We start from the raw sequence: 13,957 nt of genomic DNA on the forward strand, positions 1-13,957 counted from the left end.
GTATGTGGACCTTATCCAGCTGAAAGCCTAACAGAAAAAAGCCTAACTGCCTTGGAGAAAGAGAAAATTCACTCAGCAGACTGCCTTTGGACTTGAACTGCAACATCAACCCTTCCCTGGGTCTCCAGTCAGCCTGCCTATCCTATGGATTTTGGATTTGCCAGCTTCCACAATTGTGTAAAACAGTTGCTTAAAATAAATCTCTCTCGTGAGTGTGTGCATGGACACCCACGCACACACTATTGGTTCTGTTTCCCTGGAGAACTCTGAAAATAAACCCCTTAAGTATAATGAATAAAGACACTTTTTATCTTATAGAGAATGAACATTAAAAAATACCAAATAAAGAATCTGTTATAGAAGATCAATGTGTGTTTGAGCCTAGGAGTTCAAGACCAGCCTAGGCAACATGGTGAGACTTTGTCTCTACAAAAAACTTTTAAAATAAGCTGGGCATGGTGGCACACGCCTGTAGTCCCAGCTACTCAGGAGACTGAGGAAGGAGGATCCCTTGAGCCCAGGAGGTCAAGGCTGCAGTGACCCGTGATCATACCACTGCACTCCAGTCTGGGTGACAGAGTGAGAACTGTCTCAAAAACAAACAAAAATCCCTGTGTGAATTTATTATAACTAGATAATTAAATTAGTTTCTGTAGCTGATGATTAAGCAAAACTAGTTGCTAAACTTTTCTTGCCCACTTTCTCATTAAACAAAAGATTTTAAACTTCCTTATACGTAAAATAGAGGTATTCTGTTTTTGTTGTTGATGACTGTAATGGACCAAATGTTTGCATACACCCAAAATTCTTATGTTGAAGCCCTATCATTAGTATTTGGAGAGGGAGCCTCTAAGGAAGTAATTAAGGTTAAATGCGGTCCTAAGAGTGGGTCCCTAATCCAATAGGAGTAACGTCATTGTAAGAAGAGACACGAGAGAGCTCACTCATGCTCTCTTTCTCTCTCTGCTACATGACAACACAGCAAGGAAGAGGATGTAGGCAACCCAAGAGGAGAGTCTTCACCAAACACCAACCCGACTGGCATCTTGATCTTAGACTTCCCACCTCCAGAACTGTGAGAAACCAATTTTTGTTGTGTAAGCCATCCAATCTACGGTATTTGATTATGGCAGCCTAAGCACACAAATACAATGTTGAGTCAGAAGTGGGAGGTGGAGGAAGTGACATTTTAAAGGAAGGATAGAGAGCTTGTCTTGGATTTCAATTGAACACTATTTAATACTATCTAGGACCTAAAGATAATTCTGCTAAAGAAGTCAACAATACAGTAGCTCTATAATAGCACTCACCATACAAAATATTGGAATCATTTATCTGTCTTCACAAATCAAATAGTAACAAATAGTAACACAGCCTCTATAATTAAAGATTCATTGAAAAAAAATGCATGATTATAAATGGGTCTTAAATCTTAACTCATTTCATGCTATAAACTCATTTCATATGTAAGTTTAAATAATCCTTTTCATATTTAAGAAGCTTTCAAATATTTCCAAACTAATCCCTTATATGAAATAGATTAAAAACTCTTACCGTAACCCATTCCTTTGGTCAAAAGCAGGAATCATAGAGTTAGGGTGTTCTGACATTAATGCAACAAGCAGCTGTAGGACATCCATTAGATTGTCATCCTATAATCATTTTAGAAATTTTTTTTAAAAAATGAGGAAAAAACAACTTAGTTGAATAATGAATACTTCTGAAATAGAAATTTCAACATTAGAAATATAAGTAGACATATGTGTGATATATACTTATTTTTAACAAATTATGTTCTTTAAATGTAAACATTCACCTCTGTAACTCCAAATATACATAAAATAGCAAACCAATTTCTTTTTTTGTGCGGGGGGGCAGAGTCTCGCTCTCTCACTCAGGCTGGAGCACAGTGGTGTGATCTCAGCTCACTGCAACCTCTGCCTCCCAGGTTGAAGCAATTCTTGTGCATAGCCTCCCTAGTAGCTGGGACTACAGGAGTGCACCACCACATCTGGCTAATTTTTGTATTTTTGGTAGAGACAAGGTTTCACCATGTTGGCCAGGCTGGTCTCGAACTCTTGGCCTTAAGTGATCTGCCTACCTCAGCCTCCCAAAGTGCTGGGATTACAAGTTGAGCCACCGCACCTGACCTCAAAACAATTTCTTTGTTTTTTTGTTTTTTGTTTTTTGTTTTTTGAGACAGAGTCTTGCTGTGTCGCCCAGGCTGGAGTTCAGTGGCACAATCTCGGCTCACTGCAAGCTCTGCATCCCGGGTTCATGCCATTCTCCTGCCTCAGCTTCCCAAGTAGCTGGGACTACAGGTGGCCACCACCACGCCCGGCTAATTTTTTGTATTTTTATTAGAGACGGGGTTTCACCATATTAGCCAGGATGGTCTCGATCTCCTGACCTCGTGATCCACCCGCCTTGGCCTTCCAAAGTGCTGGGATTACAGGCGTGAGTGAGCCACCGCGCCCGGCCTCGAAACAATTTCTTCATCAAAGAAATAAAATACCTTTTATGTTATATTGAATCAAGATTTTGTAAAACATAACCTTTAGAAACAGTATATCCAACATGACTTTTTTTTAAGGAAGGCTTATATATCAAGAAATTGTGGGGAAGGGTTATTCTCTATTACAGAAAAATATATTAGAGCTTCTAAAATGCTACTAAATGTTGCAAATCTGGTGGTAGTGGTAGGGCTAAGATATTATGTATCATTTCTTAAACTTATCTGATCTGGAATGTTTTATTCACTGTGCCTCTCCAGAAACTAGTTCTAAAAGAACACTTTGTGGGAAATGATAACCGGATCATTTTCATATACGGTATTATCTATTGTCCCTATAAAGATAAAGATAACCAATAAATGTTTACTCGGTCAACATACCACTAATATGTGGTAGTATTTGATAACATTTACAGAATACCAGCACAAGAAACGAGTTCTAGACCCCCAAAAAAACTTCATGAAAATCCTTCACTACCTTTGTTGCATATACCAATATGTATGCATATCATTAGAGCCAACTTGGACAATACTGACCCAAAAAGGAAAAGGCAAACAGCTAACAGAGTTTAGTTAACTTGGTTGCCCTGACTCTAGTTTTCCTTCACTGCTTTGGAATTTTTGCTGTGGAAGCTACTTGTATACCGAATTTTCATTAAGTTAAACAGATGATCTGGAGCTAGGACACTGAATCATTGAAAGTGTTATTTAGAGGACCTGAAACTTTCCTAACAATAAGGAATCACTGTGACTTCCAGTTTATCTCATATAAAGTACTTTATTCAGTCCCTTAGGGTTAATAAAAACAAAATCACATATATAGATCACTATGAAATTCACCTGAAAACTTCAAATATTATATTTGGTCAGAAAAATCTAAAAATTAATAGAATTGCCTATTCAAGAGGAAAAAATATCATAATCATTAATGATTTTAAGTCAAATATTACTCAATCACAAAATTTAAGCCATTCTTTTATACCTGAATTAACAAAGAGATCCAATCATTATCCCTCATTTAAAAATTAAAGAAGGCACTACTCCATTCTAAAATATATTTATTAATTCACAAGGTATTAATTATAATATAGGAGTATAAATTATCATTTAAAATGCTGTGATGTATTATATTCCATCAATTCCTAAGTTTTACTAATTATAGGTAAAAATCTAACTAAAAATAGATGATTTAGTTAGATTGCAACTGACATATATTGCATTTTCCTGGTGCTAAAAAATAAAAACAGATATTTCAACCTATTTAATTTTCTTTTTATTTTTTTTTAATTACACTTCAAGTTTTAGGGTACATGTGCACAATGTGCAGGTTTGTTACATATGTATACATGTGCCATGTTGGTGTGCTGCACCCATTAACTCGTCATTTAACATTAGGTATATCTCCAAATGCTATCCCTCCCCGCTACCCCCACCCCACAACAGGCCCCGGTGTGTGATGTTCCCCTTCCTGTGTCCATGTGTTCTCATTGTTCAATTCCCACCTATGAGTGAGAACATGTGGTGTTTGGTTTTTTGTCCTTGCAATAGTTTGCTGAGAATGATGGTTTCCAGCTTCATCCATGTCCCTACAAAGGACATGAACTCATCCTTTTTTATGGCTGCATAGTATTCCATGGTGTATATGTGCCACATTTTCTTAATCCAGTCTATCACTGTTGGACATTTGGGTTGGTTCCAAGTGTTTGCTATTGTGAATAGTGCCGCAATAAACATACGTGTGCATGTGTCTTTATGGTAGCATGATTTATAATCCTTTGGGTATATACCCAGTAATGGGATGGCTGGGTCAAATGGTATTTCTAGTTCTAGATCCCTGAGGAATCGCCACACCGACTTCCACAATGGTTGAACTACTTTACAGTCCCACCAACAGTGTAAAAGTGTTCCTATTTCTCCACATCCTCTCCAGCACCTATTTAATTTTCAACCTCCTTTTCAAACACATAATTTTAAATACCATTATAAATGAGCTGTTTAATATCTGAACATGTAAAGTCAGTAGGAAGATTGTGTTATGAATTTTTAAAACCTAATCATTTTTAGTCATTTTCGTAATCTATTTTTTCATTTGTTACACTGGTTTCTGGAAATACACTGAAAGTATGCTTTGGTATACTTTATTATTAATTCAATGAAATCTAATGTTAGTACTTTTTAAAGCCTTTCATGATGATTCTCAAGATTCATCTTGTGGTAATAAAGGATATTTAAATAAAGATTGCTAGGGCTTAGTTCCTAAGTAGACACATTTACTCCCCATTACAGTTACATAATTACTGAAGATTTCTTTAAATTTTTACTTTTAAAAAAGTCTAATGTAGCTTCAAAAATTAAAATTTCAAAATATAAAATTCATATATTACCTCATGCATAGTCAGTAGGTAATTAAGAATGGCCTGTAATTCATCTTCCTTTACTCCAGAATCCTTCAAAAACATAATACAGGTATCTTACGTTTACATGTAAAAAAATGTTTAAAGAGAAATTATACACATAGATTTGTCAAGTTGGTCAGCTACTATAAATATAAAAATATAATGTAATAGACAATCTAAATTTAAAACAAAAATTTGGGGAAGCACTAAAGACATCAGTACTCCAGAACATGTAGAGGTCAATTAACATCAGCTTCCTGTTTTCAACACCTTATATAATATGACAGCCTACTTACTAAAGCTACAGAATCCTGAAGTCAGCAAAAATAATAAGTAATGATAACTTAAAAAGTAATATCCACACCTACTACTCCTCTAAATACAGAAGACATCTTTTCGACTGAAATTAAATGTGGAGAATACAATGAACAGTTTCTGAAATTATCAAGTTAAAATGTCAAGTACCTAAAAATTAAATAGTAATCTCACTCGGGAAAAGAAAAACACACTGCACTTCTAAATATGAGCTCGTTATGAAAATTTTCAACCTACTCTATCAGTATATTAATCACTAAAAAAGCTGCAATCTAAAAAAAAAAAAACACCACAAGAAGAAAAGAAATTGGAAAACAAAAAACAGTATGCATCAGGAACGAGCAACAAAACAAAGACAATTCAAAGGACACTTTTTTTAATACATGGAAATAAGGTATCTGAATCTGAAAGGTATACTAAAAGTTAGGTTCACTTGCCATAATCTTATGTGACAACTAATAAAGCATTATAAAATCATATAGGAAAATACTGAAAAAATATTGGTAACAATTACATTTATATATTGCTATCTTATAAAACCAAAATGCCTTTTTTAGAATATTAAATTTTACTTTACCTGTAATAGAATGAAAAGGGACAAAATGTGACCACTTCTAAAGGCTCATACACCTACCTGGTACATTTATACAGAAATACTATTTCTCAAAATCTGAATGTCAGTTACAAGGAGCCTGCTAAAAATGAAACCTCCTTCAGGAGTTTAGTGCCAAATACTAACAGAAACATAGTAAATATTTGCTGAATGAGTGAACACACTTGAGCTACTATACAAATTTATATAACATAAAATACAACTACCAATCCCTAATTCTGCAATAATTTACATCCATATAGGCTCCAAAAAAGAACCAAAACAAACATGGAAATATCTTTCAAAGTATTTTCCAATGTGTAACCACAGTAACCAAGCAAAGAATAAAAAAACCAAGATTGTATTTCATGTGAAATTATAACCTTCAATACACGGTATGCTATGGAATAAGCAACGTGAACTCACCTTCATCACTAATTGCTTAATGAACATCAACAAGAATGCTCGTAGAGAAAGCATTTCTTTTTGATTAGGTCGCGGTCCATCTTTTAAAAAAATATACACATACACATTTAGTATTTAAAGGACCTCAAAGCTGTCAAAGTATAAAATTCTCATTCCCAACAGCTTTTCCATGTGTTTGTAAGAAATATAAAGGTAGGTCTCCTACAGAATGACCTTTTATGCCTCTAGAAAGACAAGTGTTTAATCTTACATGCACTGTATACACAATATTTCAAACATACAAACAGGTTATGTTGAAACTACTATGAAGAAGTTTGTACTTTGAATAGGTCAAAGAATGTCCAAAACATAAAAATGAGGTAACAAATAAAATTTGTATTCAATAATAATATACGTATTTTAAGACTCTGAGAGTATTAGTAAGGTAACAGAAGTTTACAAAGAAAAAAACAAAGGAAAATCTAAACTTTCAACATTATTATTATATGTGAATTCAGTATGACAAAATTTTTCTACTGTTATCATTATATAAGCTAATACAGAAATCTCAAAAAGAATGCCTCACTACACGATATCATTCATGAAGAAGGGAAATATTATGTTAACTGCCTCTGACATCTCCTTCTCTGCTTAGAAAAGTCCTTGGTCACACATGGCTCACATTAAATCAATTTTCATGTCTCAAACATATAATTCCCAAGTAGAAAGCTTTTGAAACCAAACACTCATTGTTCTAAGATCCTAAGTTAGGGACCTGTTTTCTCATATATTTTATAATTTTTCCACCACTAATCACTATTTATAGATAGTTCTTAGACCACCAAAGCATAGGACCACCATGACTTTGAACAGATCAATGAAAATAGGAAGAAAATTGTTTAAAATTTGTTCCATGTGATTCCTAGACAAAAAAAAATAATAAGACTAGAGTTAGAAGAGGATCACAAAATTTGTCCAGCTCTCTCATTTGAAGAATGAGACTTTCCCAAGGTCACTAATCAGTTATAAAAGGCAGGCGAGAATACAAAACTAGCACCTAGGACAGTACATGATACACCTACAGCACCATGAAATAGTCATGAGAAAATTCTGACCCGGTTCTGGATCTGCCACAACCTTGCCAGCTTAAAAAGTTCATAGCTTGCTAAATTATAGGTACCAGATTCTCTGAGGCTAAACCAAGCTTATTTTGAAAGTGATATAAAAAGTAGTATGCAAATTGAAAATCTTTGTAAATCACTAAACAACCAAAGCCTCTTACTGCAATCAGAATGTATGTTATTGACTCCCCAGCATCTATTTCTTAATTTCAAGCAACAGCTCTTAATTTTTACCAAGTGACTGAAGTCATCTTCACTTTCAGACAATGTCTTTCAACTTAGGGGATGCCTCCATTTCTAAGCAATCAGGGCAACTACAACCACAAAAATGGGCACATGATACAATCAAAGCCAATGAGCAACAGAGAGACTAAAAGAGACTTTCACTGGAAATACATTATATAGGCAGATGCTCTTACACTGAATTTAAGTTGTTACGGATGTGAAAGGGGACCGGCTGCTTGCTACTACAAAGGAAGCGAATATGTGAAAACAGCCAACACAGAAGAATTGGCAAGTGCAGTGAGACAAATTCAGTCCTATGGTCATACTCAGAATACCTTTATCAAGTTGTATCTGGAACTGCCAGTTTATATGAGCTGATTACCTCCCTTTTTGATGTAAGCCAGTTCCAAGGAGACTGTTATAGTTACAACCAAAAGAGCCACTATATGTCAAAAGTTTTATTTTGACCCCTTATATGAACTGCTAGACATGATGAATGAATATTACCCTTTCAGCAAGTTAGTCCTCATTATGTAAGAAAATAATTGCTAACATTTTGTAATTTCATTATCTCTTTAAGAGAAGCAGATAACTCCTACTTCTGCAAGAAACCACCATATTCCCAAAACACCATTTTCAAGGAATCTCATTGTGACAATCCATCTCAGCATCAATTACTAAAAACTAATTAAGAATTTCTTGGCATTTTCAGTGTCTTACAACAACCATCCTAGTCATATTAGCTCCCCAAACAACTCACACCAGCACAAGTAGTATTCTTCCACACAAGTAGCAAGTTATTAAACTCTAGAAACCACAATTTAGGACAAACTATTAACATTATCAATGAGATTAAAATAAAATTTTGCCATAATGGAATATAGAAAAACTGCCCAAATATATGATAGTACTGGTTAAAACAAAAAGAAAAATTAAATCCTGATTTGCATTTGTGTAAAGTAATATACAGACAGAAATTATATACCTAATCCTTTTGGGGTGATACCACTTCGATCCTGAGGATTCACTGCCCAGTAGTAGTACTTCAGCGTGTGCATGATGAGAAGCACTGTTCCAACTCTCCGAATGGTGTTATATATGTTGACTGTACCAATGAATTCCGTGGACAGATAAGTATAGAGCATCAGTTGAACCTACAGAATAAAAATGAAGAACTTAGAGAACCCCACCAGCATTTTATCTGTTTCCAGTAACACTTCCAGGCTGTTTTATTTTCACCACGCTTCTTCCAAAAAGTAAGATGCTGAGCCTGATAATAATATCCATATTAGACAACACATACTCACTGACACACAAGCACATGCACACACACTCCTTATAAAACCAAACCAGGTAATTTCTTCTTTTATAGCAGCATTATCAAATATGGAAACTTTTTGCTGCATTATTCCATGAAAATAACTTTGTGATTCCTATTTAGCAATCAGCAATTATTCCTAAGCATGTGTAACTTCTTTATAATAGACTTATTACTTATGCTATCTATGCATAGTTGTTTGAAAAAGCTAGAATTTCTTTCAAATACAACATTTGCAGAAAATCAGGAGCTAAAATGACTCAAAAGAAAAAGTACTAGTAACTCAAAAGGAAAAAATAAATAGAACAAAACCAAAAGAAAGAAAACCACAGAAAAAGATATAGAGTTTACCTTGAAGAATATTAGAAAAACAGAATTCTATTACAGTAGCTCATTACAAGAAACATTCCAATCTAGCATTTTAATCATAACATTATAATCTCTCAACATGTATATCATGTCCCCCAATTAGGAAAGGATTCTACTAATCTCATTGAAAGTAAATAGTCTAAAAAAATACATAAGAAGTTATATATGTTTATATTAACTTCGAAATATCTCCTCTTCATATGTAAGAGAAAGAAATAATACAAGTGCTACCCCACCACTGCACATTTCATCTTAACAAAAAATTGGCCCACCCCAGTGATTCACGCCTGTAATTTCAGCATGTTAGGAGGCTGAGGCGGGCAGATCACTTGAGGTCAGGAGTTTAAAACCAGCCTGGCCAACATCGTGAAACTTCGTCTCTACCAAAAAATACAAAAATTAGCCGGGCGTGATGGTACACACCTGTAGTCCCAGGTACTCAGGAGACTGAGGCAAGAGAATCGCTTGAACCCAGGAGGTAGAGAGTGCAGTAAGCCGAGAGAGCACCACTGCACTCCAGCCTGGGCAACAGAGACCCTGCCTCAAAAAAAACAAATTTTTTTTCAGTGAAATTATGGGTCTGAAACTCATCAACTATAATCCATTACTTAAAGCAGCAAAAATAACGACTGCTTTTGCTCTACTCTCATGTTGAAATCAATTCATTTTATTGCTAGAGGGTATATTTTATAAGCTGAACAACTGTAAGTATAGGATATATATTCTTCCCTTGACCATAGACCAAACTACTGATCATTTATAACTGAACCTTTATGTTACCTTCCTGGACAATGAGGGCATTTTCCTTTTCAAACCTGCAAGGTACCTCAGTGTCACCTAGGGATTTCTTTAGAGAGCAAAAAGTAGGTACCTATCTTCCAGGTGCCCTGCAAATAAACAATCAAGGCTAAATGAATTAGAGTGTCAGTGAATAAATCTAACATGCTAAAAAGTGGCAGGTTCTGAACCACTTAAAAGCAGGGCTTGGAAGATCATTATAATTCACAAAACCATATATGTATCTATACACATACAATACATTGTGATCTACTGACCTGCCGCAAAATGTTATTTTGATGTAGCTACTGCTGTTCAAATTGATAGGCCCAATCCACTTGTCATTGAGACAATACGACATGCCTCAAATTCTTAACCATGTTATTTCAGTCTCTTAGCAAATATTTACATCTAACTATATGCATAACACTGTATCATGGAAATACAGTGGCACATATGCTGTCCCTAAGTAGCTGAAATACAGTTGAAAAGATTAAAAAAACACTTATATTTAAGCAAAACAAATCAAAGACAATAAATATGCCTACCAAAACATGAAAAAAGTCATGAAGCAATATGTAATTGAGTGACATAGAGCTATGAAATATTATTAATTCAGAGGACAGATAAATTATTATAGGATAAACTGAAATAGTAAAGAAAAGCTTCACTAATAAAGTAGGCATTAAGATAGGCTTTGAAGATGAGTAGTAGAATAGACAGACAGAATACAAGAGGAAATTTCAAGCTAGAAAAATGATGGTTGAAATAAAGGTTTCCCTAGAGTTAGAACAACAGTTCTCAATCTTGACTGCACATTAAAATAACTGAAAAACTTTTCTTTTTTTTTAATACTGATGCCTGAGTCCCATCCCAGTGAGGCAGGAGAATAGGGTCTGGAGGCAGCGAACCTAAGGACTTCCTAGAACTAAATCAAATGGAAATGCTACAGCTATGACAGGAAATATCCTCTCCATTTACATAGGGCATACACCGAGTAAATGACTTTGTAACTTTACTGTATCCTCTTCATTTACATAGGGCATACACCAAGCAACCAATGGAAACCTCTAAAGGTTATTTAAACCCCAGAAAATTCTGTAACAGGGCTCTTGAGCCCCTACGCTCAGGCCTGCTCCCACAGTGTGGAGTGTACTTTCATTTTCAATAAACTTCTGCTTTTGTTCCTTCATTCTTCCCTTGCTTTGTGCATTTTGTCCAATCCTTTGTTCAAGACACCAAGAACCTGGACACTCTCCACGGATAACACCAGATTGATGAAATCAGAATCTGCAGTGGAAGTGGTGGGATTCTATTTTTGCTTGTTTTTAAAAACCTACCCCAACTGATTCTATCAGCAGTCAAGACTGAGAACCACCACTGTAGGGAAACCTTTTGGTACCTCCCTATCCACTGAGGATATTTCCATTTTTAAGCTAGAAAATCTAGAAATAAGAATTGACATGAAATCCTTAGATAAAGGACTAACTACTTCGTTCTGAGAACAATGGGAAACCATTAAAACTGCTGGGGCTAAGAAATTATAAGAGTCATATGTTAGGAAAATATTGGCGTTGGGCATGGTAGCTCAAGACTGTAATCCCAACACTTTCTGGGGCTGAGAGAGGAGGATTGCTTGAGGCCGGAAGTTCGAGACCAGCCTAAACAACAAAGCAAGACCCTAGTCTCTACAAAAAAATTTAAAGAGTTAGCTGGGAATGGTGGCGCACACCTGCAGTATCAGCTACTCAGGAGGCTGAGGCAGGAGGACTGATTGAGCCCAGGAGTTTAAGGTCGCACTGAGCCATGGCCATGAAAAGAACATGTTGGAATTCTGGCAGAATAGTTATAAGTTAGACAAAGAAATGGAAAACTGGAGAAAGTCAGTCTATTGAGAATGATACTGTGGTAAAAGAAAAATGAACAGAGGCTGGGCCTGATGGCTCACACCTGTGATCCCAGCACTCTTGGGGGGCTGAGGCAGGTAGATCACTTGAGCCCAGGAGTTCGAGACCAGCCTGGGCAACATGGCAAAACATCATCTCTACAAAAAAATACAAAAATTAGCTGTGTGTGGTGGTACACAGCTACAGTCCCAACTACTCAGGAGGCTGAGATGGGAGGATCACCTGAGCTGGGGAGGCAGAAGTTACAGTGAGCTGAGATCCCACCTTAGTGACACAGTGAGACCCTGCGTCAAAAAAATAAGTAAACAGAATTTAGTAGCAACGTATAGAGATGAATGAAAGACCTCAAGATTACTCATATGCTAATTATGAATAAACCTTCCCTCATTCACTCATTATGTACTCCAATAGCCACACAAATTGTGTGTTAACATCTGTCTTTCCCACTAAATCTAAATTCTATGAGGGCAAGTATCAAGTCTATCTTGTTCATCACCATATCCACAGTGCCCACCATAAAGTAGTCACTCAACAAATATTTGTTGAGTAAATGAAGGACCATGGTAGACAAGAAAATTCATCTCTCCTGCTAGGTCATTAAAAAGATGTTCTCTGAACAGATCTAAGATAAATGGAAATTATAAATCGCTGGTAGCTCCCTTTTCCAAAAGCAAAGCTTTTCACATCCACACATCCAGACCTTCAACTTTTAACCAGAGGTGGATTGACCACGAAGCTGATAAAGCTTCAACTTTATGACCACTGATCTATAAATGTTTCTTCCAAGACCCTAAACCTAATTTTGTATGCATTATATTGTATTCTTCTTCTTAAAAAATTTCCCACATGATAAACATTTGACCTTCAAGTCAAACAAAATTTGGATCTGCCCTTTTTTATGACTGTCTTTACAATAAAATAAAAGCAGATAAAACCCCTTGTGGATACATAAAGCAGATGGCTAAAACAGGAGAAAATGCTAATATTATCAACTCAACTGCAAATTCTAAAAAGGAAATTGAGAAAAGTTATTAAAAAGTAGAAGATAAGAAATAGAGTATAATAATACTAGGAAACTAAGAAAATCATAAGATGAATTTTTTTTAATTCCCCTCCAACTAAGTATCTAATAAGAGGCTTTCTGACCACATCAAAAGAGACACAAAGCCTTACAAATATGCTGATTAGTAAGACAAAAAAGTATCTAGTAAAAGATTTTAAAAGTAACTTGAAACAATCCTCAAAAAGAAGTAAGACTGAGGGTCATGGAAGAAAATGAGGTCAAATTTGACCTGGAGATAAAAAGCTACAACCTCCAACTGCCTGTTTCGATTATTTCCAAATGGCAATCAGAGTCAGCAGCTGTTTTTCTCTTTAACATTTGAAAAGACCAGCTGAAAATAAAATATTAAGACTCTAGAAAAGCAAAAAAGTCTGCAGACTTTTTTCTGACAACTAGAATAAGTAGGTGCTATTCCAACTTAAACAATGATAAACACTGCAAGTGGGCCAAAAGGCAGAAGGGGAGAGAGGAAAACTGGGCTTGAAATAACACGACTTCTAACAAAAATTGTAGATAAGACGGATACAATTATGCAATTTAATAAAATGATCTGTTTCAAGTTATGCTTAATACTGCCACTACTGAATTTTTAGGACAATGTATTACAACACTAGGATTTATTAAAGATTTTGTTCATATACCTTACCACAAATTCATTTACATTCACATAGAACTAATTGGTTTGTTGTTACAAAACTGAAAAAAAAAATTTGTACAAATGTTTTCATAATTTGAATTAACGTGAAATTAAAATGATTACGAGACTAGTATATCATGCCTTCAAAGAAAAAGTGACATTTCAGTGGTACCTATAAGAATGAAACTCAGTAGTTCATCATGTTGGAAGGCAAAAGTGTGAAGTAAAAAAGAGAGAGAGCAGGAGCAGGGTGAGTTCTTAAGAAATAAAAAAAAAAGAAAAAATATATATGGATATTTACAATGGAACAAAGCTACAGT

The 13,957-nt window shown here is 35.3% G+C and overlaps 1 protein-coding gene across 9 annotated transcripts in view; it reads right to left on the reverse strand.

Annotated features, from left to right (window-relative positions):
• Nucleotides 1-13,957, reverse strand: part of LRBA (LPS responsive beige-like anchor protein) — a 751,293-nt gene that overhangs the window by 627,063 nt on the left and 110,273 nt on the right. For all 9 annotated transcript variants that reach the window (XM_047416462.1, NM_001367550.1, NM_006726.5 and 6 more), the window contains exons 14-17: nt 8,552-8,720; nt 6,242-6,321; nt 4,897-4,959; nt 1,555-1,652 (exon numbers count right to left, since the gene is read on the reverse strand). In XM_047416462.1, coding sequence (XP_047272418.1) covers nt 1,555-1,652; nt 4,897-4,959; nt 6,242-6,321; nt 8,552-8,720 — 410 coding nt within the window. The remainder of the gene's footprint in view (nt 1-1,554; nt 1,653-4,896; nt 4,960-6,241; nt 6,322-8,551; nt 8,721-13,957) is intronic.

This window comes from Homo sapiens, chromosome 4 (genome assembly GCF_000001405.40).
Source record: "Homo sapiens chromosome 4, GRCh38.p14 Primary Assembly".
NCBI lineage: Eukaryota > Metazoa > Chordata > Mammalia > Primates > Hominidae > Homo > Homo sapiens.